Raw genomic sequence first — 27654 nt, 5'->3', positions numbered from 1 at the left:
TCCCACAGCCAGGGTGGGACCATGTGGGATCTGGCGGAAAAGCTAGGGAGGGAGCAGAGGTCACAGAGGCCGGCCCACTCTGCTGTCCCGTTTCGGTACAGTAGGCTCGGGAAAGTTAGGACACACCCCCACCTGCCCTCTGGATTTATGGAGCTGAGACTCCACAAATGATGCTGGAGCCAGGTGGGCCGGGCTGCAGTTTAGGAAGTGATCAGGATCAGGTAGGTGGGCGGGCAAAGGGAGCTTCTGGGACCAGCCTTGAAAGATGGGTGGAATTCTGCAAAGGTTACTTGTTTCTTATTGCTAAAAGTAATACATCATTCTTGCCAACAGAATGATTGGCAGGATTTTCAGTAAAGGTCCAGGTCAGAAGTCATTTAGACTGGGTCCCCCAGTCTCTGTCAGAACCATGGTACTCTGTTGTGGTGTGAAAGTAGCCACAGATCATCTGTAGATTAAGGGGTGTGGCTTTGTTCCAATAAAACTTTATTTACAAACACAGGCTGTGGGCTGGATTTGGCCTGCAGGCTGTAGTTTGTGATCCTTGATTCAGAGAGTTTAGCAAGGCTGAAAAGAACACCGACACCCCCTTGTTACCCACAGATGGGTGGGACTTGGCCAGAGGCCAAGAGGAGGGTGCTCGCAGGGGAACATACAGCACGTTAGAGGCCGGGAGGTGCTCCAGGGCACCAAGTGTGGGAAAGTGGGACATACGGGGAAGTTTCCAGAAAGCATGATGTCAAGTTGGAGGCGGAGCGCTGCTGGGGCGTGAAGAGTCTCGAGTCCAAGTGAGAGAGTTAGGAACTTGGGAGGGGTTGTTGTTGGGTCGGGGACCTGGGGTCAGCCAGGTGGTGACCTGGGATGGGGTGGGGACAGGCAATGAGGTAAGCTCTGCTCTTTATTTTTTTGCAGATGCTTTTCTCAAACTTTCCTGATCCTGCAGGCAAGCTAAACCAGTTTTGGAAGAACCTGCGGGAGTCGCAGCAGCTCCGATGGGATGAGAGCTGGGTGCAGACTGTGCTCCCTTTGGTTATGGACATACAACTCCTGGGCCAGAGGCTAAAACCCCGGGACCCCTGCTGTCCTTCCCGCAGCTTCTTCTCGGAGTCTCAGGGCAAACCCTTTTGAGCAGCGCCTCCCAGTGGCCAGAAGCTGAAATGACGGCAGTGGTGCCGCCTGGTGAATGAATTGGTTCTGTGACCCGGGAAGCTGTGCTTGGCTCTGATTTCTTTTCCGGAGGCTCGGAAACACTTCCTCTCTTCTTCTGTTCTTCATGCCCCATGCCCCTGCTAGCGTATTACTGTTCTGTGACTTCCCTGTGACCTCTGCAGTACTCCTTATCCTGCGTTTGGTCTCCAGGTGTCACCTTTCTGCCGTGTTCCTAACATTTTGATTCCTGTCTTGAAAAAAGCACCTGCTGCATCGTAAGCCCAGGGATGTGGCAGCTGCAGCGGGCTTGGCTTTGTGAAGAACTGAGTGTGTCCGCGGATGTGGCAGCTGCAGCAGTCTTGGCTTTGTGAGGAACCAAGTGTGTCCAGGGATGTGGCAGCTGCAGCAGGCTTGGCTTTGTGAGGAACCGAGTGTGTCCACATACTTGATACACACGTTTTTATTTGCACAAAGAAAATGCTATTTTTGGAGCCAGAGTTTTCATGTCTGAGTGATGGCGATTTCCTTAAGAACCAGAACTGCTGGCAGAAAGGGAGCACCCACACGCTTAGATAGCCGATGTCTTATTAGAGGGCAGTTTGTAGTTCCTGATTTGGAAATTAACATTCTCCAAACATTCCAGTCCAGTGAAAGTTTTATCAGCTTTCCCATATGAAACCTCTTCCCTTGAGAGTGACTTGATTCTCACAATCCCATTGGAGTCGTGTGTGAGTCCTACAGTGTGAGGTTCAGCATTGCCATCTCCAAGTGCTCTTCATAGGGAAACAGTTTCTGGTCATGACGAGGTTCCACTTCCCATCTGATCCTGGCCTGGCCTGGAAACAGAGCACATGTGTTTCAGGATGGCAGTGTTTGGGGACAGGACATGAGCGTATTGTGTGGGGCTGCTAGGACAGGCCTGGCGGGGTGGGGGGGCGGTGTCCAAGTCAGTTTACTTGGTTCACAGGTTCCCAGGCCCACCCAGGTGCCTAGAATTGGCCTCCAGGATGGGACCAGAAATCTGGTTTTGCATAGAAATGGCTAGCAGCGGGCACCATGCCGCTGTCCACTCTCTACCCGCATCTGCCCCAGCACTTGGCACAGCAGGACAGAAGCAGAGATCTGAACCCACATCTACCTGGCTGCTCCGTCAACCCACTCTTCACAAAGCTTAGAAAGCGGCCAGGCACAGTGGCTCACACCTGTAATCCCAACAGTTTGGGAGGCCAAGGCGGGTGGATCACTTTAGTTCAGGAGTTCGAGACCAGCCTGGCCAACATGGTAAAACCCATCTCTACAAAAATACAAAAATTAGCTAGGCACGATGGCGGGTGCCTGTAATTCCAGCTACTTGGGAGGCTGAGGCAGGAGAATTGCCTGAACCCAGGAAGCGGAGGTTGCAGTGAGCCGAGATTGTGCCACTGCACTCGAGCCTGAGTGACAGAGTGAGACTCCATCTCAAAAAAAAAAAATCACACACAGACACACACACACACACACACACACACAGCTTAGAAGGGGCTGGTGTTCTCATAAGCACAGATGTCTGAAGAGCCGTTAGCCAGAATGATCCTTTTTTTTTTTTTTTTTTTTGAGATACGATCTTGTTTTGTCACCCAGGCTGGAGTGCAGTGGCACAGTCATTGCTCACTACAGCCTCGACTCCTGGGCTCTAGCAATCCTCCCATTTCCTGAGTAGCTGGGATGACAGGTGTGTGCCACCATGCTAGTAATTTTTTTATTTTGTAGAGATGGGGTCCTGAATTCATGGCCTCAAGTGATGCTCCTGCCTCAGCCTCTTTTATTATTTTTTTTTAGACAGAGTTTTACTCTGTTCCCCAGGCTGGAGTGCAGTGGTGCAATCTCAGCTCACTGCAATGCCTCCCAGGTGATTCTCCTGCCTCAGTCTCCCAAGTAGCTGGGATTATAGGCATGCACCACCACGCCTGGCTAATTTTTGTGTTTTTAGTAGAGATGGGGTTTCACCGTGTTGGCCAGGCTGGTCTTGAACTCTTGACCTTAAGTGATCCCCTCACCTCAGCCTCCCAAAGCCTCAGCCTCTTACAGTGTTGGGATTACAGGCATGAGACACTGTGGCCCGGGATGATTTTCAGTCACAGTTTTTTGTTACGAGTGGAAAATGCGTATTTATAAAAATGAAATAGTACAGACATGAACGTGTAGAAGTCTCTATAATCCTGCCATCCAAGGATGGCACCTGTTAACGTGTATATCAGGGATGTCCAATCTTTTGGCCTCCCTGCACCACACTGGAAGAAGAAGAATCGCCTTGGGCCACACATAAAATACACTAATGCTAGCAATAGCTGGTGAGCTAAAAGAAAAAAAAATCACAAAAAAACCTCATACTGTTTTAAGAAAGTTTACAGATTTGTGTTGGGCCGCAGGTTGGACAAGCCTGCTCTATATATATTCCAGGTTTTCCCCTATAGGTATACTTATGTGAAAATGATTATTGTGATAATTTTTTTTTGAGATGAAGTCTTGCTATGTTGCTCAAGGGGGCCACAAACTCCTGGGCTTAAGCCATCCTCCCGCCTCAGCCTCCTGAGTAGTTGGGAATATAGGTACTCATAACCATGTGTGGGTGATTATTATTATTTTTTAAACAAAAATGGGGCTGGGTGCAGTAGCTCATGCCTGTAATCCTAACACTTTGGGAGGCTGAGGCAGCAGATCGCTTGAGGTCAAGAGTTCAAGACCAGCCTGGCCAACATGGCGAAACCTCGACTCTACAAAAAATACAAAAATTAGCCAGGCGTGGTAGCACGCACCTGTAGTCCCAGCTACTCAGGAGGCTGAGATGGGAGGATAGCTTGAACCTGGGAGGTGGGAGGTTGCAGTGGGCCGAGATGGCACCACTGCACTCCAGCCTGGGCAATACAAAGCCAGACTCTGTTTCAAAAAAAAAAAAAAAAAAAAAAGGTGGGTGGGGGCTTCTACTATGTGTGCTGCTTGGCACTGTTTTTTTCACTTAAAAGATATTGCAGGTATTTTTTCACGTAAGTATCTGAAGAAAAACTTCCTTTTTTTTTTTTTTTTTTTGCCTTTTTGAGACAGGGTCTTGCTCTGTTGCCTAGGCTAGAGTGCAGTGGTGAGATCAGGGCTCACTGCAGCCTCCACCTCCTGGGCTCAAGCCATCCTCCCACCTCAGCCTCCCGAGTAGCTGGGACTACAGGTGTGCGCAACCATGCCCGGCTAGTTTCTGTATGTTTTGTGGAGATGGGGTCCCACTATATTGCCCAGGTTGGTCTTGAACTCCTGGTGTCAAGAAGTCCTCCTGCCTTAGCCTCCTAAACTGCTGGGATGACAGGCCTGAGCCCCGCGCCCGGCCAGCCTCCTGTGCGAGGTTGTGAGGGACTCTGTCATGGAACCTAGTGTGTCTTCGTGTGCTGGCTTGTTTGTTGGCTCTGTAGTTAACGGGCTGCCCCACGTGGACAGGCATTGGACCCGTGTCTGTGTGTGCAGGCAGAGGCTCCTGCGCGTGCATCTGTGCACATGGCTGCCAGGAGGGGCTGTGCTCAGGGGGAGCTGGGGCAAAGGCTGGTGGCAATGGGGGGCTTGGGTGTAGTGTGGAGGCACGAGAGCCAGGTGGCCGGGCTGCAGTCTGTGGGAGCTCGGGGGTTGCTTAGCCTCTGTGTGTCCTAGTGTCTTTGTCGGTGAGATGGGACAATGATAGCACACTCTCACAGGTGCTGGGGGCTGACAAATGTCAGGTCTGAGGACAGTGGCTGGCCCACTACGGGGTCAATTCCCCTTCTCTATAGTCACCCTGCTCGTCTTCCATCAACTGGGTGCTCAGGACAGTGGCATGGTGGATCCGCCCGTACAGCCTGTGTTCCAGCGTCCTGCAGGCCACAGCTGTGTCCAGCCCTGACCCCGACTGCCCCTCCCACCACCTCCATTTTATAGATGAGGAAACTGAGGCCCAAGGGCTTAGGGAACCCTGCTCTGAAGCACACAGTAGGGCTGCTGGGCTCAGATCCTCCCTCCCTGTGCTGAGCTGCCCTCCTCCTGCCACAAGCCCCCAGCCCCGAGCCCACCCTGCTCACCGGCCTCTGCCCTAGTTCCCCGCATGGTGTGGGAGTGTGGGGCATCCTAGCTTTTCCCCAGCCCCCAGTTCTTTCACTTCCACTGGAGTCCCGCAGGGACAGCTCGGGGACCATGCAGGCCCGGGTGGGCATGGGGGCTCACCTAGCTCGGTGGTGAACAGCTGGCATGTCTCTGGGTTGCGGACAGTAAAGGCCACATAGACCTCAGGAGCCCGCTGGTGCTCCCGGCAGGCAGCCAGCCTCAGCAGGACCCCGACCAGCAACACGATGGCTTCTGGGCAATACAGCACGTCTACGGTGAAAGTTTCAGGTTACTGAAAGGGACCAGCGGACAGTCCCAGGTCATGCTGACCTCAGCAGCAGGGCGAGCCAGAGAGGCAGTGGTCATATGAGACTATTAGATGCCATTTGACCATTTTGGCCATTAGATGGAAAGGCAATTACTTGGGTGAAAAAGGAGAACCCTTAGTAGAGAAAGCTGCAAAAGACCGAAGCAAAAGAAAAAAATCTCCAGACTCACTGGTGTTCCTTAAAAAACGAGCTCTGGTTCTCAGCCTATCTAGAGGGCTGTGAATGACACAAAGCCTGACCCTGCCATGAACTTCGTGTTTCAGGCGTCTGCCGATTTGTCTGCTGGCTTGCAGGGGTGGGCCTGTGTCCCTGGCCACCGCTGGACCTGTGGTTTTCAGGGCTGGGACCCAGGACAACAGGCACAGCTCTGTTCGACCAGAGAGGAGACTGAGTGTGCTGGCAGGGGCGAGGGGTTTTTGGCGGCCCAGCCAAACACCACCTTCTCTCAAGGGCCCTGTCCTCATCCCAGAAGTGGTTGTTTTCCTCCTGTGGTCTCTGAAAGACACAAGCATGGCTCTGGGACAGAGCCATGTGGTGACGACTGTAACGGGAGTATGCCTGTCTCCAACAAGAGGGCTGTGGCTTGAAGGTCACCTTAAGAGGCACCCCTGTCCTTTGATGTCACCCTGGAGGCCCAGAGTAACTCTTCTGGAAGTTCCATCATGTCCATGCCCGATAGCATCCATTGTTCCCTTTTCCCAGAGCCAAGAGCTGGGTAGAGCTGCAAGGACACCGCCTGCACAGGGTGCCCGGGGCTGGGCATTACCTGCTGCAATGACAACATCTGGCTGGATGGCAGAGAGCTGATGGACCATCGCGATGTCCCAGTCCAGCTGGGCCACTGTCACTCTGGGGCTAAGTTGGCAGTGATGTCTGCCTCTAATGAGAGGCCATTGAGAAGGACATTCCCTCGGAGCTGTTTGAGGACCCGGCTGTGACAGTCGCTGAAGATGTATGCCCGGGGGCGGCACATCTTGCAGATGGCCAGGGCTGTGAGGCCAGCACCACTGCCAAGCTCTAGGACAGTCCTGGCGGGAGGAAAGGGGACCATGTCTGCGACTGCACCAGGGTAAGCCTGCCTCGGTCCCCTGCCCTGCACCCCAAGGTCACCTATGAGTGAAGGCTGCCGGGTTCTCGATGGCCCATTCTGCAAGGTAGAGGGTAGCATCCCATGTGACCAGGCCTGTGATGCCTGGGAGATGATGGCTGTGCTCTAGGAGAGTGTGACTGAGCCTCCTGAGGGCTGCACCAAGAGAGGGCGAGAGAGTCATTCCAGCAATCAGAAGGCAAGTGGCTTAGAAGACAAGTAGCCATCCACCACATGGCTGAATAAACCATGACAGGACCAATCGCCACTCAGCAATGAGAAGCAGCTAACTGTTGACATGCCAACAGCTTGTACAGGCCTCAAGGGTGTCACGTGGCATGAAAGACACTCACCTCAGGCCACACAGGATTCCATTCATTGAACATTCCTGAGACAATGGAATTCTGGCGATGGAGCACAGGTCAGTGGTGGCCAGGGGCCAGGTGTGGCTATGAAGGGGTGGCTGCCTTGTGATGATTCAATATGCTATGTTTTTCCTTTGTGGTTTTCTGTATCTATGTTTTATCTTATTTTTTTTGAGCTCTGTTCCCCAGGCTGGAGTCAGTGGCACAATCTTGGCTCACTGCAACCTCTGCCTCCTGGGTTCAAGCAATTCTCCTGCCTCAGCCGCCCAAGTAGGTACGACTACAGACATGTGCCACCATGTCTGGCTAATTTTTCTACTTTTTTTTTAGACAGAGTTTCACTCTCTTTGCCCAGGCAGGAGTGCAATGGCGCGATCTTGGCTCACTACAACCTCCACCTCCCGGTTTCAAGAGGTTCTCCTGCCTCAGCCTCCCGAGTAGCTGGGATTACAGGCGCCCACTACCACACCCCGCTAATTTTTGTATTTTTAGTAAAGACAGAGTTTCACCATGTTGGCCAGGCTGGTCTCAAACTCCTGACCTCAGGTGATCCACCCGCCTCAGCCTCCCAAAGTGCTGGGATTACAGGCATGAGCCATCACGCCTGAACCTGCCAAGTATTCTTTGAGGACTGGGCACCAGGTCCTTGTGAAGCAGGTAGAGTGTGTCACCTATTGGACAAATGCCCAACGACCCCATGAGACATGCTGTTGTTGTTGCAGTGCTTGATTTACAGACAGGGAAACTGAGGCTAAAGAAGGTTGATGGACCTCATGTCTAAGACTGCAGAATGGGTGAGTCAGGATTTGAACCCACACCCACGTTTTCACTTTGTCTGTGCAGGAAGGGTATCTGGGCTGTGAGGGGGAGGAGGGTACCCTTCTCATACCAGCAAATAGCTCCAGTGGCCCTGAGTGGACTCCTTGGCCATCAGGGTCTCCACCAGCACCTCATACAGCTCGTCCAAAGGCTCCGTGTGGACAGCCTCGTGCTGGGGGCAGACAGAGTGAGAGCTTGTTTGCTTTCGTTCTAATCTGTAAAAATGGCCAGATGATTTTCACCAAGTTTGGAGGGGAGATTTGGGATGGAATGGTGTAATACCGGCCAGCTGGCATATAAAATATTCACTTCGTTGGGCGTGGTGGTGTGTGCCGAATAGTCCCAGCTACTCTAGAGGCTGACATGGGAGGACTGCTTGAGCCCAGGAGTTCGAGGACAGCCTGGGCAAGAGACCTTGTCTCTAAAAAAAAAATTCACTTGGTAGGGAAACCTGGATGGGAGGGCCTTCAATGAGAGGTGTTGAGAGGGTAGAGTTAGGTGTAGTTTAGGGCAGGAGACAAGGATTCCGTGAGAGCTGCCACATGACCATGACAGAGAGCAGGAAAACAAAAGGTGCTTTTAAGTGAGCCCAGGCAGAACTGTGAGGGCGGCCCATGCTGCAGGCTGTGGCTGTCAGCAGGCTGCTTCTCCAGGGCTGGCCCCATCCTAAAATTCACAGGGCAGCAGCAGGGTATACTGGGTGACTGCTGCCCTCTCCTGGTGGCACAGGGCAGACCTGCTGGTGACCACAGATGCACCCTTTTGGGGAGGACTAGGGAGAAAGCAGGTATTGGAGAAGCAGGGGATTGTTTATTTGCTAAAAGTGTGGCCCTTTCACTCAGCAGGTCTGCTACTGCCTACTGAGGAACGGCCTCTCGACATCCTTATGTCGAACCCTGCATGTTTGGGCCCATCTTTAAAATCCACCCTAGGCCAGGTGCGGTGGCTCATGCCTGTAATCCCAGCACAATGGGAGGCCGAGGCAGGCGGACCACCTGAGGTCAGGAGTTCGAGACCAGCCTGGCCAAAATGGTGAAACTCTGTCTCTACTAAAAATACAAAAATTAGCCAGGCATGGTGGCATGTGCCTGTAGTCCCAGCTTCTTAGGAGGCTAGGCACGACAGTTGCTTGAACCCAGGAGGCAGAGGTTTCAGGGAGCCGAGACTGTGCTACGGTAATCCAGCCTGGGCAACACAGTGAGACTGTCTCAAAAAAATAAAGAAGTAAAAAATAAAATCCATCCTGTATCAGTCAGGAAAGAGCTCATTCTAGCAGGATCAATGCAGAGAATTCACCAGAGGAACTAGTTCCAAAGGTATGGCAAGAGCTAAACCTTCCAAGAGGGGCCCATGGGGCAACCCAGAGACAGACAAGAGCAGGAAACTCCAAACCCTTCGGCGGGCAGGACAGAGGGTGTGGGTGAGGGTTCCAGTGCTGTGGGCTGGGCCAGCCTGGTAGGAATGAGAATCCATATGCTGGGAGCTGGGGCCCCAGAGAAGCAGCTGCTGCGGAAACCCCAGGAGGCAGAGTGAGGGAGAGACGCTGACCTCCCCTTCTTCCCGCCCTGCACTGTCTCCCATGGGTCACACGTGGCTGCAGCCAGTCGCCTGGGGAGGCCCCTGCCATGCTGGGGTTTGCAAAGCAGGCCCAGGGCCTGGGAAGGATGGGGGCTCTAGCACGCAGGTGGCTATGCTGTCTGGCTACTGGGCAGACACTGCCCATAACTGACCTTTTTGATGAGTTCTGAGAGAAAGCACCGGGCATACTTGACTGACGGCGGGTGCGTCACACACACAGGATGCTTCACAGTCTACAGCAAAGGACAGAACATTGGTTGCTCGAGAGCCCGTCTTAAGTCTCCTATGAGCTTCAAGCCAACACAACAGAGGGCAAACTCCAGGCTACCCCATCTCTCAGCAAAGATGTATGTAGATGGACACAGCATTCTGGCCCCATGCATCTGAAGTTTGTCTGAAGATATAACCCGTTTCCTAAAAATGCTTCCACTGCAGTGGCACAGGCTGTGGCAGCATTTCTAATGCCCATTCTGAGCGGGAACACAGGGCACGTGGGCCCAAACCACCTCCCTCCCAGGGGAGCCAGTGTGAACCAGGGCTTGCAGTAAGGACAGTCGCCAACTGTCTGGCTCTATGGAAGAGGCGGGAAGGCCCACTCGGCAACTGCTCTCTGGGAGTGTGTGTCCCTGGGGACAGGATGGAGGGGAGGGGACGCTCAGGGTGACACTCCAGCTAAAGCCAAGAGAAGCCAAGTGCAGGATGAGCAAGTTCCAGGCAGTGGCAACAGCTGGTGCAAGCTCTGAGGTGGCCACGGGCTGGCACTTGGAAAGGAGGGCAGAGGGACTGGTGCAGCAGGAGTGGGGACGGTGGGAAAACAGGAGCCTGGAGGGAGAGGGAGGAGACAGTCCGCAGTGCCTGCTGGCCGGGAGGGATGCAGATTCTGCCCAAGGGCAGCAAAGTACCCCACACAATACACAGGCTCTTCAGGCTGGTGCTGGTTTTTCATTTTTTCTGACACAGAGTCTCGCTCTGTTGCCCAGGCTGGAGTGCAGTGGCCTGATCAAGGCTCACCGCAGCCTCTGCCTCCTGGGTTCAAGCGATTCTCCTGCCTCAGCCTCCCAAGTAGCTGGGAATATAGGCGTGCACCACCACGCCCAGCTAATTTTTGTATTTTTAGTAGAGATGGGTTTTTGCCATGTTGGCTAGGCCGGTCTTGAAGTCCTGACCTCAGGTGATCCGTCCACCTCAGCTTCCCAAAGTCCTGGGATTACAGGTGTGAGCCAGTGCACCCAGCCTTGTGCTGGGTTTGAAAGCAGCTATCCCTACATTTCATGCTTCACCACCTACAAGAGTGAGGCTAAGGGTGCAACTCAGAGCAGGGTGCGAGATAACTTCAGGTATCTCCATGCTCGAAGCCCTGACCTACTGTATTGCCCCGAAAGTCTTCCCTGCTGTGGCTGCATCTTTTCCACATGGATAATCTTGGTTCACCTCTAGCACAGGAATTCTTCACTGGGGCTCCTAGGATGGGCTGGTTGGGTGGGGGTGGAGAATGTCTGCCTCCAGAGTTTGTATGGAAAATGTATTCTTCTGGTGCACTTCTTTCTGGGACGGAGTCTACTGCTTTGTCTTTTCAGAAGGGCTCATGGCCCTTCACAGGTGAAGACCCAGGATGCAGGGTGATCTGCACTTGGCCCTCAAGGCCAAGGTCAGGCTGTGGCTGGGCCTGGTGGTGATCCTGCCTCTCACCTGCATGCAGATGCTCTTGAGTCCAAACCCCACCCTGGGCAAAGTAAGGGCCCATTTAGGTCTAGAAGAGACAGGAGTGGGCAGGACAGGCCTCATGAATGCAAAAAAGAAAGTCTCTGAGCATCTACCAAATGCTAGAAGCTGTTTTGCACCTGTCATCTCTGTTTTTGCTGTGGATGGTTTAAAAAACTTTCCTTAGATTTCCCCCTCTCATGCAGATTTTTGTATATTCTGATGTCTTTGTCTAAGTCTTAGATAGAAAATGAAAGAGCTGGAGCTGTCAGAGGTGCCAACACCCACCTGCAGTGCTGACTCAATGTTCAATGTTCTTTGAACAGGGGTGTTTTTAAAGGGTACAAGCACACCTGTGGTTCTTCTCTCAGGTCTTCCGGAGAGATTCAGGAGACAGGGTCATGAGTCCCAGGGACTCTGGGATTCTTACCTTCTGCAAAATATCCCGCAGAAGCTCAGAATCTGATGAGTCTGTTAATTTTGCTTCTAAGCTCTGTGTGGACGGGAGAGAGAGAAATCTCAAGGGCGCATTCACAGGAACATTAAACACGCAATAGAATGTGTTGGCAAAGCGCTGTGTGATCTCTCCCTGGGGACGTGGAGCCAGTTGGAAGTGGAAGCCACAGCAGCTGAAAGCCTGACCTTCAGATGTCACAGGGTGCACCTGGATGAGTCACAGGAAGAAGGCTAGAAGACTGACTCTTGGCCACATTAGTCCTGGCTACTTAGCGGCCACCTGGGTCATGGGCCAGCTCCCTGGTTGCACTGGTCAGCCAGGAATTAACAGGGCAGCCATGGCACCAAGGTTTGATGGGCTTGCCATCTGAGTTTAAGTGGAAATGCAGAATGTGCCCATACCAGCCTGGGTTACATTGTCCTCTCACAGGGGCCTCAAGCCCAGCAGCAAACTTTGGCTCCCGAGTTAGGCAGACTGTCTCAGCTGGTATGTGACACAGGGCAAGGCACTTCATTGCTTCAGAGCTCCTTCCATGCTGTAAAAGGCCTTACAAGACCTGGTCCTAATCCCTCTCTCTGGCCTGTTCTCCCTCACCCCTGGCCCACACTGCTCACTCCACTCCAGCCACACTGGCTGCCTTGCTGTTGTTCCTCAACCACAGCTGGCTTGTTTCCACCACAGGGCCTTTGCATATCCTGTTCCCCAAGCCCTTCCCATGGCTGGCTGCTTCACCACTCAGGCCCCAGTTCAAAAGCCACCTCTTTGGGGAAGGCTTCCCTGATTCCCCGACTTTGGTGACTTTTCTCCCCAGTTGCTCCATTCACCATTTCCCTGTTTTATTGGCTTTAAAGCCACTCTCATCTGGTCTTTTCTTGTTTATTTATTTATTTGTTTATTCTCTGGCTCTCCCATGCAAGCAGAGCCTCATCTGTCATGGGTACTGCTGATCCATGGTGCCTGGCTCACGGAAGGCATTTATTAAACATTTTGAGACTGAATAAAAACACTAGCTAACACCGACATGCATTTACCATGAGCCAGGCACTGATCCACAGGCTTTTGTACTCAACCCTGACAACAACCCTAAGAGGTAGGTATCATTATATCCCCCATTTTATTAATAAGAAAACAACAGCACAGAGAGATGTAGTCACTTGCCCAAGGTCACACAGGGCCAGGGGTTGGGACAGGATTTGAAGCAGGCAGGCTGTCTCCTGGGTCTGAACTCTCAACTACTGCACCCTAATCAAACAATCCCTCTGGTCAAATGTGAGTGATAATAATAGTACCCACCTCATGGGTGTTGAGGGTGAGCCCAAGTTAGCATTCAGCGTGGGCATGTGAACAATTATAGCCAATATTGAATGGAGACCTATGATGCTTTTATGAAGGTTTCTATTTTGGGTTAAAAATGCACAAATTTCTCCTGACCAGAAATGATCTCTGAGTGCTAAATATTTCATATCAATGGAATAACGCAAATGATTAAGCAACACCCCATAAAATTCCAGGGAGGAATATATATCCAAACTGACTCATCCCAGTGAGCTCACTGCACATGAATTACAAATGGGGCCGGGTGCATTAAGCCCCTCTACTGGCAGAAGGGAGGCTGCTGCCTGCCATGTGCCTGTGCTGAGAATGGTAGGTCCCCAGGGAGACGAGAGGCCACCCCCTTCTCTGTCTCTTCCATCACAGGTGTGAGAGCCTCAGAGCATGAGCCGATTCTGTGCAGTTCTCAACATACAGATGAGAACACTGAGGCACGAGGGGACAGCCTGTGACCTGGTCACCGCGCTCAGGAGGACGTGGTTACCCGCGGTCCTGAGGGCGCTGACTTTTTAGAATGGGCGAGGGCAGCTGTGTCCCAGTGACCAGAACGATTACTGCCTTTAAAAAGTCGTGAAAATGATCGTGAACTGTATCCCACAACGAGTGCGCCTCTGCCCCCTAAGACGGTGGAGAGGCCCCCAGCTTATGCCGCCAGCCCGCGGGGCAGGAAGGGTGTGAGCGACTCTGGCCAGGCCCCAGGGATGGGGACCGGGTCGCGCGGACCTGACTGGCGGGAGCCCAGGCACTCACGTGGCGGGCGTGTCGGGGGCTTCTGCACGGAGACCCATCCCGTCTGCCCCTGGACTCCCGCGAGCCCTGCGGGCCTCTCCGCTCGCCCCGCCGCCCACCTGCCAGGGGAAGGAGCGCAGCGCGCGCGCCGCCAGAAAGCGGCGCTGCAAACTCTGCAGCAAGAGTTAGGTCCCAGCGTTCTCCTCGGGCGCCATGACGTGGGCGGGGCCGCAGTGTTGCCGGGAGACCGTGCGGAAGCCGGGCCTGGACTGAAGACGGGGCGGGCCCAGGGCAGTGCGCGGGGGCAGAGAGGGGGCGGGGCCTGCGGGTAGGGTCAGGAGGAGAGTCGTGGGGGCGGCTCTAGGGCGGGGCCAGGATGAGCGTTATGAGGCGGGGGCTTGGGGTGGGGCCAGGATGAGCGTCATGAGGGCGAGGCCTGGGGTAGGGCCAGGATAAGCGTCGTTGGGGCAGGTCCTGGGGAGAGTTCAGGTTGGCGGGTCCTGGGGCGGGGCCAGGACAGGGCGATCCTGGAAGCGGGGCTTCGGAAGCGTCCAGGTTGGAGGCGTCCTGGAGGCGGGGCCTTGCGTGGGGGCAGGATAAGAGTCCTGGAGGCGGGCGTTAGGGTGGGGGTAAACGATGATTGGGTTCAGGAGGCGAGAGTCGGAGCAGAGCCCAGGAGACAGGTCTTAGGGCGGGGCTAAGGCCAGACCCAGAGAAGGGCTCAGGAGGCGGGGCCAGGGCGGGGCGTTGACTATGTCGTAGCACGTTGCCAGGCACTGCTCGAACTCTGGGAGGCGGATCTTAGGACAGGCCGACGTGGGGAGGGGCCCAGGGTCCGGGAGGCGGGGCCGAGTCTAGGCTGCGGGCTGCGCTCAGGAGGCGGGCCCTGGGAGGCGGAGCTTAGGGAGGGTCCGGTGTTGGCAGGGACCAAGGGACTGGGAGGCGGATCGGGGCTGGGCTCAGGGGCCGAGAGGGAGCTGGGCTTGGGGCGGGGCCGAGACGGAGCGAGGGGTCCAGGGTGTGAGAAACGGGGAGGGGTTTGAGGAGGGGATTGGAGTGTGGCTCAAGTTCGGGAGGCGTTACCTGCGGAGGGTTTGAGGCAGGCCCAGGAGCGAGCCCACGGTCTGCCGACGCGGGGCCAGCGGCGGGCCCCAGGATCCGGAGCTTCGGGCGGGGCCGAGTCCAGGTTTGGGGCCCGGGAGGTGGGGCCGGTTAGGGCGAGGGTCCCCGGGATCGTAGTGTCAGGCCTTGGGCCAACGTAGGCACTCGCAGTTCCTCCGCCTTCAGGAAGGTCTTTTTGGCAGGGGCCTTACGGGTGCGCGCTTCGGTCCTGGAGGCGTTATCCTAGCCTCCTCTCCATCAGCGCCACCCGTCTGGGGCCCGATAGGAGGGAGCTTTCTGTCTGTCCCCCAGCCTTTGGACTGTCACCAAACAAGCCATCCGTTCACCAAATACTTATTAAGCGCCTACCATGTGTCTGGCAAGGGAGGTGTAACAGTGAGAAAAACTAGGTGTGGTCCAGGCCCTCCAGGGGCTCAGGGGCTCGTGGAAGAAGTGGACATTGAAGTACTTACCACACAAATGAGCATGAAAGTACAATAGCAATATCTGCCACGAAGGCGAGCAGACAGAGCTAGCAGGGCTTCCAGGAGGAGTTTTGATCTTGCAGGGACAGGAAGGAGGAGTTAGCTCCTGGGGGGCGGGATTGGGGGTGGTGGTGATATAGACGTGGGGACAGAGTGGAAAACAACAAAAATATAATTATTTTAGTTCAAAGTTATTGTGTCTTGAGTTGAAAGGCAGGGCAGTTAGCGACACGGTTCAGATTTCAGTACTGCCCCTGAAATCTGAATTGTGTTCAAAGTCTAAAACGTTTACCTTAGCAAATCCCTCATAAAACTCCATTTGGAAGAGTCCCGAGAGCTAATTTGTTAAGTATACTTGCAGAAGGTAGATGAGGAGACAGATTAAATCTTATTACCTCTTTCAGATGAGAGGCACTTGAGCCCTGCTCAGCCGTGAGAATAAGAGGGGGAATTAATTCTAATTGAATACACTTGTTCTCTCACAGCTGTTGTTCCCCACCAGAACCAAATGAGCGCAAGATCTGACAAAGAAAAAAAAAGGTTCATCTTTTATTCCGCCAAACACTTTCATCTAAATCAAGAGGGTGGGATGTGGTTATTGCTGTGTTTTTAGACAGAATCAACAGTTTCTGGGTCTGAGATATTGCATACACCCTCTCAGTCCCTGTATCCTCAGATGGAGTCACCTGAGAATCCACAGCAAGTCCTAACCGGGGATGGGTCTGGGTGGTTAAGGAAGGTTGGCCTCAGAACTGGGCCAGGGGCACTGCTTTGCTTTTGCTGTTTTGATCAGCTCTCTGCCCGCAGGAGACAAGGAAAACCAATGGGAACAGGTTAGTTACACTCATAAATCCTGGGCTTATTTTATTAACTCACATAATAGCTATTAATTGCCTTTCCTCCAAGGAGCAAAAGGGCATATACGGTCAATGCTATAATAAGTAACACTGTATTATGTTATACTAAAATATTAATAAATCTAGGTTGGTTCAGTCTTTCCTGATTCCATAGATTGGAAGCGGATTGAGGAAGGACCCTAGCGGACCACAGAGCTGAGCCATGCACACAGAAGAAATCTTTTCTTCTTTTTTTTTTTTTTTTTTTTTTTTTTTTGAGACAGAGTTTCACTCTCTTGTTGCCCAGGCTGGAGTGCAATGGCGCAATCTCGGCTCACTGCAACCTCCACCTCCCGGGTTCAAGCGATTCTCCTGCCTCAGCCTCCCAAGTAGTGGGATTACAGGCGTGAGCCACCATGCCGGGCCATGTTTGTATTTTTAGTGGAGACAGGGTTTGAACACGTTGGCCAGGCTGGTCTCAAATACCTGACCTCAGGTGATCCGCCCGCCTCTGCCTCCCAAAGTGCTGGGATTACAGGCATGAACCACCACGCCCGGCCAGAAGAAATCTTTATTTTGGTGTGCGGGCTCGGATGAGGGCCAAATGTCATCTATCTTGGATCTGAATCTGGAAGGATCAAGGCACTGAAGGGATTTTTTTGTTTCAGAGAGTCTCCCTCTGTTGCCAGGCTGGAGTGCAGTGGCATGATCTCGGCTCCTGCAACTTCTGCCTCCCAGGCTCAAGCGATTCTCCTGCCTCAACCTCCCGAGTAGCTGGGACTACAGCCACGCGTCACCACGCCCAGCTAATTTTTGTATTTTTTAGTAGAGACAGGGTTTCACCATGTTGGCCAGGAGTGTCTCAATCTCTTGACCTCATGATCCATCTGCCTTGGCCTCCCAAAGGGCTGGGATTACAGGCGTGAGCCACCATGCCCGGCCTCACTGAAGGGATTTTTTTTAATGTCACGTGGCTCTCACAGGTGCAGTGTGTTCAGGTGCAAGTGAAGATTAGGACTGATGCTTAAAACCAAACGTAAAATTCCAGGTGGTGTTACTATGGGGAAGAGCATTAGGACAATCTGAATGGTTTCAGTTGCAAGAGTGTGCGTATACGTGCAAGAACTACAGTCAAGATTCAACTTCTGGCTTTGAGGGTCTCTTTAATAACAGTAATAACAACCTAAGGCAGTTTAACAGTATGGAATGGTTGCCTTTTAGAAATTAAGCTATGGGCATGGAAGTTCAGTCAGTACATTGAAGTTTTTCCTTTATCTCTCCTATGGTTAATGGTTTCTGCAGAAAAGGACCAATTGATTTCTTTCTAAAACGTTGCTTCAGGGTGTAGGGACCTTTATAGGTCATGTTTCAACTTACAGAAAATTTTATAGTTCAAATATAAATTACGTTCAATGTGGACTTTGTAATAGAATTTAAGGTTAAGTAAAGTTTCTGCTTTCCTTAGGCTGTTTGCAGTGCCCAGCAGGCCCCATGATATTGAGATGGAAGTTATGTTAAAGGAGGAGATCGGTCAGGGATGGGCAGAATAAGGACTATGGGCAGCTCAGGCTAATGATACAATGATTGAGGTGTAGAAAGAGGGCCAGGCACGGGATAACGCCTATAATCTCAGTGCTTTGGGAGGCCAAAGCAAGAGGATCACTTGAGGTCAGGAGAGCAGCCTGGTCAACAGAGTGAGACCTAATCTGTACAAAAAAAAAAAAATAGTTGGGCATGGTGGTGTGCTCCTGTAGTCTCAGCCACTTGGAAGGCTGAGGTCAGGGGATCCCTTGAGCCCAGGAGTTTGAGGCTGCAGTGAGCTATAATGACATAACTGTACTCCAGCCTGGGGGATAGGGTGAGGCCCTGACTCAAAAACAATTGAGTCAGGGAAAAAATTGGAAATCTTAATCCTCCGTAGCCAGGAATGTGACCTTATTTGGAAATAGGGTATTTGTAGATATAATCAAGTAATGATGAGTCATACTGGATTGGGGGCTGCTGGTAAGGAGGCAGATGCAATGACTGGTGTCCTTGTAAAAGGAAAGAATGAGGGCTGGGCATGGTGGCTCATGCCTGTAATCTCAGCACATTTTGGGAGGGTGAGGTGGGCGGATCACTTGAGGTCAGGAGTTCGAGACCAGCCTGGCCAACATGGTGAAACTCCATCTCTACTAACAACACAAAATTAGCACTGCGTGGTGGCGGGCGCCTGTAATCTCAGCTACTCAGGAGGCTGAGGTGAGAGAATCGCCAGAACCTAGGAGGCGGAGGTTGCAGTGAGCCAAGATTGTGCCACTGCACTTCAGCCTGGGTGACAGAGGGAAACTCCATCTCAAAAAAATAAAATAAGAGAGGAGAATGTCAGGTGAAGACAGAGACAGAGGGAGATGGCAGCCATGTGATGAGGGAGGAGAGATTGGAGCGATGCATCTACAAGGAACACCAAGCATTGCCAGCGGCCACCAGAAGCCAGGAGAGGCAAGGAAGTATTCTCTCTTACATGTTTCAGAGGAAGCGAAGCCCGGCCGACACCTTGATTTTGGGCTTCTAGCATCCAGGCCTGCGAGACAATACATTTCTGTTGTTTTCAGCCACATGCAGGGCCCTCGTTGTTGTTATGGTTTTTTTTTTTTTTTTTTTTTTTTTGGAGTTGGAGTTTCACTCTTGTGCCCCAGGCCGGAGTACAATGGCACGACCTCGGCTCTCTGCAACCTCCTCCTCCCAGGTTCAAGCTATTCTCCTGCCTCAGCCTCCTGAGTAGCTGGGATGACAGGCATGCACCACCTTGTCCAGCTAATTTTTGTATTTTTAGTAGAGATGGGGTTTCACCATGTTGGCCGGGCTGGTCTCAAAATCCTGACCTCAAGTGATCCGCCTGCCTCAGCCTCCCAAAGTGCTGGGATTACAGGCATGAGCCACCGTGCCTGGTCTTGTGGATTTTTTTTAGACAAGATCCCGCTGTGTCATCCAGGCTGGAGTGCAGTGGTACAATCTCAGCTCCTGCAGCCTTGACCTCCCTGGGCTCAGGTAATTTTCCCATCTCAGCCTCCAAGTAGCTGGGACTACACGCTTGGCTAATTTTTGTATTTTCTGTAGAGATGGGGTCTTGCTATGTGGCCCAGGCTGGTCTCAAACTCCTTGGGCTCAAGCCATCTGCCTGCCTTGGCCTCCCAAAGTGCTAGGATTACAGGCATGAGCCACTATCCCTGGCCACCCTTGTTAAAAAATAAAGAATTTCAAGATGGTGATGGCAGATTATTAAACCACAGTGGGGACTCTTCTGTGTCCCTGTGGGACTGTCCAGGTTGCAAGCCCATGAATCCGGCCCTGGCTGCTGGGCTCTTGGAGTGCTGGACCTCCCGTGGCATGTGGCAAGGAGTTGTCATGGGTTATCAAGACATATGATGATCAACTACGGGAGACTCAAATACCACTCAGTCCTTTTTCCATTGAATTGCTGTGTATGTCACACTAGTAACAAACAGAACCGCAAGAGCTCCTGTGACAATGCTGAGCCTGATCACTGCGCCTTGCAGAGCAGATGCCCTCTGCACCTCCGCTCCTGTTAAGAAACCAGAGGGTTTTTAATTGTCTGTTCCCATCTAGCCGCTAGTGAGTATTAATTATGGAAATGAAGTGTACATTTAACCCAAGAAAATGCTCACTCTAGAGAAATCTCATAGGGGAAGTCGTTGAAAGCCGATTTACTAAATGACCTCTTCGCCAAATGACCCATTTGCCTAATGACCACTTTGCCAAATGATCAGTTTGCTGAAAGCCAATTCGCTGAAAATCTGTTTGTGGGATGTCCTGCTTATCAGTAACTGACAGTCAGACGCAGATTATCCCAGGCTCCCAGTGGGATGTGGGACAGGGGAGGGGCTACAAAATAGTTGTAGCAAAACTCCAAAACTTAAAAAGAAGAAAAATCCTCCATAATTTGGTGAATTGGTCATTCATTTAATTAGTTTTCTACAAAAGGGACTGCTTTCTGTATGTTCACAAGGAGATCATGGGCAGTGGCTTACAAGAAGAGAAAGGATGTATATCACCCCTGCCCTCCCTTCTTTTCCTTTTTTTTTTTTTTAAGGCAGGAATCGGAGTGCCGTAGTACAATCACAGCTCACTGCAGCCTCAAACTCCTGGGTTCCAGCGATCCTCCCGCCTCAGCCTCCCCAGTAGCTGGGGCTACAGGCATGTGACACTACATCCAGCTAATTTATTGTAGAGACAGGGTCTCACTATGTTGCCCAGGCTGGTCTCAAGCTCCTGGCCCCAAGTGATCCTCCTACCTCATCCTCCCAAAGTCCCAAGTATGAACCACGGTGCCCAGGCCATTACTCCTTTTTGCATGTAATTGCTTTAAGTGCTCGTTAGATCACTGGACAGTATCCAAGTCTCTCCTGGGAAAAGGAAAGATAGCCAGTGTTTGTAAACAACCCACAAAAGAAGGCAACAGCAAATTCTGAGATGATTTTATTCTTCCTTTGTATTACCCAGATTGAAGGGGTTTGAAGTCTTGAGAATTTGCAGTCTCGTTTCAGACTCTCCCCTCTCCTTTTTTCAGTATCGAGTGAACAGCAGGGTTTTGCTCCTCCACTATGAAGAGCTTTCTGTGCTATTGAAGGAGGGCAGATTTCCGTATCTGGAAGGGGCATCTTGGGGGCAGTCTGTACACAGTGATTTCCTTAGGACCGGAAGGATTACAGCCCGACTTTCTCTATAGAGCAACTTCCCTTTGCCTAAAAGGCACTATGTCAAATGTTACCAGCAGGTCGAGGGATTCCCTACCTCCCGTGCTATCTGTTTGGAGCTATTGGAATCTTGTTCCTGGGGCTCCAAAGCTGCTGGGAAACAGGATTGTTCTGCTTGAATTCCCTCCTCCCCACCATGAGACCACTTTTTGATTCTTTTCTATCTCAGGACAGAGCAGACTCTGCTGACAGTTTTCTGGCAGCTGCTTTTGTGTCTCACCTGGCTGCTGGTCATAAGAGCTCATGAGCATTTCCTGGGTGACTGCCAGGGAGCCGTTGTGGGTTTGGGGGTGACTCCCAGGAGCTTACACACGAATGGGTAGATGTGGATGCTGTTAAAAGGCTCGGCCAGGCGATTCCTCTTGAAATCTGGCCCGAAATCTCTGAAGATGGTCTTTATATCCATGAGGACATTATCAAAGCCATGGCTGCCTTTGTTGAAACACATTATAATTCTCTGAAAAATAATAACAATAAAAAAGCCATTTTAGATTCCAATCCGCTGAAAGAAAACTGTCCCTTAGTTAATGTCATGCTTGTTGGATCCATGAAGTCTTTGAGAATTTAAACTACAAGGACACTGCTCTCTGTGGTGGTGGAGGGAATACCAAGGATTTAAAGGTCTTTAAGAAAGAGAATGTAGAAAGCGTACCCATTGGAAACAGCAAGATGATGATAATCGTACTGACAGTAATAATAAGCTCAAATATATGGAGCTTACTATGTATCATGAATTGTTCTGAATGCTTCATAAATATACGTTCCCTCCTTTACCCTCATGGCAGCCCAGTAAAGGCGCCATTCCCCATTTTACAGCTGGGGAAACTGAGTTACAGAGCTTGTCTACACTGAGTCAACAGGAGCAAATGCTAGATCAGGTAATTGAACCCAAGCAATCCGGTTCCAGAGCCAAATAGATGTATTTTTTTATGGTATAAATACACATACATACATTTTTAGGGGAAGGGTGGGGGTAGGATGGGATGAGGATTCTGGGTAATTGCTTGGTAAATGCCAAAAACCTTTCTTGTCTCTCCCTCTTTTCAAATGATAAAGAAATGTCAATTGCAACACTTTTTTTTTTTTTTTTTGAGACAAGGTCTAGCTGGAGTACAGTGATGCAGTCATAGCCCACTGCAGCCTCAAAATTCCTGGGCTCAAGCAATCCACCCACATCAGCTTCCCAAGTAGTTGGGACTACAGGCCCACACTACTATACCCAGGTAATTATTTTAATTTTTGTAGAGATGGCAGGTGGCGGTGAGGGGCGGGCAGTTTTGCTATGTTGCCCAGGCTGGTCTCAAACTCGACCTCAAGTGAACCTCCTGCCTCAGCCCCACAAAGCTCTGGAATTATAGGCATGAGCTACTGTGGCTGGCTACAACACTATTTATTTATATTTTAGACCAACAGATATTCTAGCATATAAGAAATGTGATGCTCTCTGTACATTGAAGAGTTGGTCTAATATTTGGCCTGGTGGATACAGAAATTGCCTGTCTGCTCCGCTCTGGTTGAAGAAACCAGTCCGACTGTCTCTGAGGCTATGGAGCAGTCCATCAAGAATGAAAGCCCTCGGCTGGCACGTTGGCTCACACCTGTAATACCAGCGCTTTGGGAGGCTGAGGCAGGTGGATCACTTGAAGTCACGAATTCGACACCAGCATGGCCAACATGGTGAAACCCTCTCTCTACAGAAAATAGAAAAATTAGCTGGGCCTAGTGACGTGTGCCTGTAATCCCAGCTACTCAGGAGGCTGAGGCAGGAGAATCACTTGATCCTGGGAGGCAGAGCTTGCAGTGGGGAGCTGAGATCACACCACTGCCTTCCAGCCTGGGCGACAGAGTGAGACTCTCTCAAAAAAAAAAAAAAAAAAAAAAAAAAGAAAGTCCTCATGATGGCCTCAAGCACATTGGTCCCTGAAGAGAGTCAAGGAAGGCCCACTTTACTCTGCACTGCAAAGCAGGCAGGTGGACAGGATGAGAAGTGGATTCAGTGAGAGGCATTGACTCAAAGGATTTTCTGCCTAATGGTCGGTTCAGCAGAAGATTAAACTGAGCACAGCATCCTGTTCCCTCAAACTATCTGGTTGGTCAGTGGGGAATGTTCTTGTCTCATTAAATGTCCTCATGCTACTGTCAAGATATCCTGTTACAAAACATCATAAATCAGGTTTACAAATAGGCCAGGTGACTGCGGAATTTCTCCTTGGCAAGGCCTTAGCTATGGGCGTGCGATTGGTGTGCAGTAATCACAGTGTTCCGGGCCACTTGAGGGATAAAATATACCTTAGGTGATAAACCATTATATTTTAATGTGAATATTTCCACCAACATTAAACAGTAACCCCATGAGTTTTCTCATACCTGTTACACTCTGGAGTTGCAACAAGCTAACATGAAGCAAGTTGCAAACAGAATTATCGCATTTGGCCCCTATTCACAGCAAGGGTTCTTCAAGCTGTACCTGGGACAGTCTTCCCTCACATGAGGTTTATAGCATCATTTATTTAATTATTTATTTATTTTTTGAGATGGAGTTTCTCTCTGTCGCCCAGGCTGGAGTGCAATGGTGCGATCTTGGCTCACTGCAACCTCCGCCCCCCCGGGGTTCAAGCGATTCTCCTGCCTCAGCCTCCTGAGTAGCTGGGATTATAGGCACCTGCTACCACGCCTGGCTAATTTTTGTATTTTTAGTAGAGATGGGGTTTCACCATGTTGACCGGGCTGGTCTCAAACTCCTGACCTCAGGTGATCTACCCGCCTCAGCCTCCCAAAGTGTTGGGATTACTGGCGTGAGCCACGGTGCCCGGCTATAGCATCATTTAAACTTTGTTTCTGCCATGAATTGTTAGTTGGTAGTTAACAAAAAATAGACCACCTCATTTATGTCTCACAGTTAGCATTGGTTTTTGTGTTTTCTTTAGGCTTGTCTTTTAACTGTTTTTAAAATTGTGAAACACGGCCTTGTTCTGTTGCTGACGCCAGAGTGCAGTGATACAATCTTGGCTCACTGCAGCCTCAACCTCCTGGGCTCAAGCAATCCTCCCCCTTTAGCCTCCTGAGTAGCTGGGACTACAAACACGGGCCACCACCGCTGGCTAATTTTTAATTTTTTTTTTGAAATGGAGTTTCGCTCTGTCACCCAGCAGGTTGGAGTGCAGTGGCGTAATCTCGGCTCACTGCAACCTCCACCTCTCGGGTTCAAGCGATTCTCCTGCCTCAGCCTCAGCATCCACAACCATGCCTGGCTAATTTTTAAAAAATATTTTTAGTAGCGACAGGGTTTCACCATGTTGGCCAGTCTGGTCTTGAACTCCTGACCTCAAGTGAACCACCTGCCTTGGCCTCCCAAAGTGCTGGGATTACAGGCGTGAGCCACCGCGCCAAGCCTAATTTTTAAATTTTTTGTAGAGACCAGGTTTTGCCATATTGTCTAGGCTGGTCTTGAACTCCTGGGCTCAAGTGATCCTCCTGCCTTGGCTTCTCAAAGTGCTGGGATTACAGGCATGGCCCTTATGCCTGGCTCTTAAAGCTGCTTTTTAATAACAGGCTTACTAAAAGATAATTCACATACCATACAATTTACCCATTTCAAGTGTACAATTTGGCCGGGCATGGTGGCTCACACTTGTAATCCCAGCACTTTGGGAGGCTGAGGTGGGAGGATCGCTTGAACCCAAGAGTTTGAGATGAGCCCGAGCAACATGGCAAAACCCTGTCTCAACCAAAAATACAAAAAAATTAGCTGGGCATGGTGGGTGTGTCTGCAGTCCCAGCTACTGAGGAGGCTGAAGTGGGAGGATGGTTTGAGTCCGGGAGGTGGAGGGTGCAGTGAGTTGAGATTGCACCACTGCCCTCCATCCTCGGCAACAGAGCCAGACCCTGTCTCTAAATAAATAAATAAAGTGTATAATTCAGTGGTTTTTAATATATTCACAGAGTTGTGCAGCCATCACCACCATCAGTTTTAGAGATTTTAATTACCCGAGGAGAAACCCTGTATCTATTAGCAGTCACCCTTTATTTCCCCCTGACTATCCCCACCCCTGGCTCCTGGCAACCATTAATCTACTTTGTTTCTTTGGATTTTCATATTCTGGGCATACATACATATATATGTGTGTGTGTGTGTGTGTGTGTGTGTGTGTGTGTGTATATATAGAATCAGCTACTATTTGTCTGGCTTCTTTCACTTAGCCTAATGGTTTCAAAGTGTATCCAGGTTGTAGCATGAATCAGCTCTTCATTCCATATTTTGGCTGATTAATGTTCCATCCATCACACGGGTAGACTGTACTTGTTTGCCCATTCATCTGTTGTTGATAGGCATTTGTGTTGTTGCCACCTTTTGACAATTATGAATAATTTTGCTACGAGTATCTGTGTGTGTCTTTGTATGAACAGGCTTGCATATTTTTTGATATGGGCAAATGAGTACTAGTGGCGGGAGGCCTTTGTGGTGAATTTTTTGGTGATCTTTGTGTACTCTGTATAATGATCACCCACGCAGGCTTGAGGGCAGCACTAAACCTTAAATTTCTTTCTTTTTTTTAAGATAGGATCTCTCTCTCTCTGCCACCCAGGCCAGAGCGCAGTTGATGCAGGTCAGGGGAGCCCCCCAGTGGAGCATAGTGTGTCCAGAACTGGTGGGTTGTTGGTCTCACTGACTTCAAGAATGAAGCCACGGACCCTCGGGGTGAGCGTCACAGTTCTTAAAGGCGGTGCGTCCGGAGTTTTTTCCTTCTGATGCTCGGATGTGTTCAGAGTTTCTTCCTTCTGGTGGGTTGCTGGTCTCACTGGCTTCAGGAGTGAAGCTGCAGACCTTCAAGGTGAGTGTTACAGCTCACAAAGGCAGTGTGGACCCAAAGAGTCAGCAGCAGCAAGATTTATTGCAAAGAGCAAAAGAACAAAGCTTCCACAGTGTGGAAAGGGACCCCAGTGGGTTGCCACTGCTGGCTTGGGCAGCTTGCTTTTATTCTCTTATCTGGCCCCACCCACATCCTGCTGGTTGGTCCATTTTACAGAGAGCCGATTGGTTTGTTTTACAGAGAGCTGATTAGTCCATTTTGACAGGGTGCTGATTGGTGTGTTTACAATCCCTGAGATAGACACAAAAGTTCTCCAAGTCCCTACTAGATTAGCTAGATAGAGAGTGTCCATTGGTACACTCACAAACCCTGAGCTAGACACAGGGTGCTGATTGGTGTGTTTACAAACCTTGAGCTAGATACAGAGTGCCGATTGGTGTATTTACAATCCCTTAGCTAGACATAAAGGTTCTCCAAGTCCCCACCAGACTCAGGAGCCCAGCTGGCTTCACCAGGTGGATCCCGCACTGGGGCCGCAAGTGGAGCTACCTGCCAGTCCCGCGCCCAGCGCCGGCACTCCTCAGCCCTTGGGTGGTCGATGGGACTGGGCGCTGTGGAGCAGGGGGCGGTGCTCACTGGGGAGGCTCAGGCCTTGCAGGATCCCACAGTGGGTGGTGGGGAGGCTCAGGCATGGTGGGCTGCATGTCCCAAGCCCTGCCCTGTGGAGAGGCAGCTAAGGCCCGGTGAGAAATTGAGCACAGCAGCTGCTGGCCCAGGTGCTAAGCCCCTCACTGCCCAGGGCCGGCGGAACTGGCTGGCCGCTCCGAGTGTGGGGCCTGCCGAGCCCATGCCCACCCGGCACTCGCGCTGGCCCGCAAGCGCCACGCCCAGCCCCGGTTCCCGCCCGTGCCTCTCCCTCTACACCTCCCCGCAAGCTGAGGGAGCCGGCTCCAGCCTCGGCCATCCCAGGAAGGGGCTCCCACAGTACAGCGGTGGGCTGAAGGGCTCCTCAAGTGCTGCCAAATTGGAAGCCCAGGCAGAGGAGACACTGAGAGTGAGCTCCAGGGCTGCCAGAACGCTGTCACCTCTCAATAGCACATGAGGGTTCTTGCCTTTGCCCAGGAAAGAATTCAAGGGCAAGCTGGAGGTATAGAAGAAAACAGCTTTATTGAAGAGGCAGCGTTACAGCCCTGTGACTGCTCCTGTAGGGCAGGGCTACCCTGGAGGTGGAGAGTAGCGGCAGAGAGTTTGCAATCACATTTATACCCACTTTTAATTGCATGCAGATTAAAGGGCAGTTTATGCAGAAATTTCTAGAAAATTGGTAGTAACTTTTGAGTCATTGGGTCATTGCCATGGAAAGGGGCAGTAACTCCCGGGTGTTGCCATGGCAATAGTAAACTCACATGGCACACTGGTGAGCATGTCTGATGGAAAGCTTCTTCTGTCCCAGCCCTGTTTTAGCTAGTCCTCAATTTGGTCTGGTGTCCAAGCCCTGCCTGTGGAGTCAAGTCCTGCCTCCTATCTTACAGTGGCGTGATCATGGCTCACTGCAGCCTCAACACCCCCAGGCTCAAGCAATTCTCCCACCTCAGCCTCCTGAGTTGCTGGGACCACAGGCACGTGCCACTGTGCCCAGCTACATTTTTTTGCATTTTTTGTAGAGATGGTGTTTCACTGTGTTGCCTAGGCTGGTCTCAAACTCCTGGGCTCAAGCAATCTACCGACCTTAGCCTTCTAAAGTGCTGGGATTACAGGTGTGAGCCGCTGCACCCAGCCCAACCTTCCATTTTTAATCTCAAGTCACTTCTTTCTAGGTTTTGATTTCTTCTTTAAAATGGTGGAACTAAGAACATCTATTTTATAGGGTTGTTGGGAAGACAAAAATGAAAGCACTGCTATTCAATGTTTAGTGAAGCACTATGCACAATTTTGAATAATGAAGTTGGTGTTTATTTTTTATTATTTGTTTATTTCTTAGAGACGGGGTCTTGCTCTGTTGCTCAAGCTGGAGTGCAGTGGT

At 51.1% G+C, this 27654-nt stretch overlaps 1 long non-coding RNA gene and 3 pseudogenes across 14 annotated transcripts in view, besides 4 other annotated features; 2 read left to right on the top strand and 2 right to left on the bottom strand.

Annotated features, from left to right (window-relative positions):
- Nucleotides 1–1208, top strand: part of ALG1L1P (ALG1 like 1, pseudogene) — a 61266-nt pseudogene extending 60058 nt beyond the window's left edge. For all 4 annotated transcript variants that reach the window (NR_171197.1, NR_171196.1, NR_171195.1 and 1 more), the window contains one exon: nt 913–1208. The product of NR_171197.1 is annotated as an ALG1 like 1, pseudogene, transcript variant 6 (transcript). The remainder of the gene's footprint in view (nt 1–912) is intronic.
- Nucleotides 456–13879, bottom strand: FAM86JP (family with sequence similarity 86 member J, pseudogene; annotated as a pseudogene). 2 transcript variants are annotated; one of them, NR_024251.1, is made up of 5 exons: nt 13663–13879; nt 11554–11616; nt 9575–9655; nt 5365–5514; nt 456–1985 (listed from the first exon to the last, which is right to left on the bottom strand). The product of NR_024251.1 is annotated as a family with sequence similarity 86 member J, pseudogene, transcript variant 1 (transcript). The 2 variants fall into 2 exon arrangements; NR_024250.1 differs by having other exon boundaries at nt 13761–13879.
- Nucleotides 13545–14135: an enhancer, noted in NCBI's record as "H3K27ac-H3K4me1 hESC enhancer chr3:125635188-125635778 (GRCh37/hg19 assembly coordinates)". NCBI's record gives its function as "activates a minimal SCP1, AML or CMV promoter by ChIP-STARR-seq in naive H9 embryonic stem cells {active_cell/tissue: H9 hESC(naive)}" and the evidence as "EXISTENCE:reporter gene assay evidence [ECO:0000049][PMID:30033119]".
- Nucleotides 13586–13785: a silencer, noted in NCBI's record as "silent region_14671". NCBI's record gives its function as "represses an Ori minimal core promoter by ATAC-STARR-seq in GM12878 lymphoblastoid cells {active_cell/tissue: GM12878}" and the evidence as "EXISTENCE:reporter gene assay evidence [ECO:0000049][PMID:35858748]".
- On the top strand, nt 14043–27654 carry LOC102723696 (uncharacterized). 8 transcript variants are annotated; one of them, XR_007096051.1, is made up of 6 exons: nt 14675–14827; nt 15713–16060; nt 19542–19678; nt 21606–21698; nt 21920–22043; nt 22226–23005. It is a non-coding gene; the product is annotated as an uncharacterized LOC102723696 (long non-coding RNA). The 8 variants fall into 8 exon arrangements; XR_007096049.1 differs by lacking the exons at nt 14675–14827; nt 22226–23005 and adding an exon at nt 25379–27654 and having other exon boundaries at nt 14834–16060; XR_007096048.1 differs by lacking the exon at nt 14675–14827 and having other exon boundaries at nt 14834–16060.
- Nucleotides 14346–14615: a silencer, noted in NCBI's record as "silent region_14670". NCBI's record gives its function as "represses an Ori minimal core promoter by ATAC-STARR-seq in GM12878 lymphoblastoid cells {active_cell/tissue: GM12878}" and the evidence as "EXISTENCE:reporter gene assay evidence [ECO:0000049][PMID:35858748]".
- Nucleotides 14636–14685: a silencer, noted in NCBI's record as "silent region_14669". NCBI's record gives its function as "represses an Ori minimal core promoter by ATAC-STARR-seq in GM12878 lymphoblastoid cells {active_cell/tissue: GM12878}" and the evidence as "EXISTENCE:reporter gene assay evidence [ECO:0000049][PMID:35858748]".
- The window catches only part of ENPP7P4 (ectonucleotide pyrophosphatase/phosphodiesterase 7 pseudogene 4), a 61192-nt pseudogene continuing 54603 nt past the window's right edge, over nt 21066–27654 (bottom strand).

Source organism: Homo sapiens, chromosome 3 (assembly GCF_000001405.40).
Source record: "Homo sapiens chromosome 3, GRCh38.p14 Primary Assembly".
Classification (NCBI taxonomy): domain Eukaryota; kingdom Metazoa; phylum Chordata; class Mammalia; order Primates; family Hominidae; genus Homo; species Homo sapiens.
Note: the sequence above shows the minus strand (reverse complement) of the source record. Positions and strands in the feature narration are given on the sequence as shown.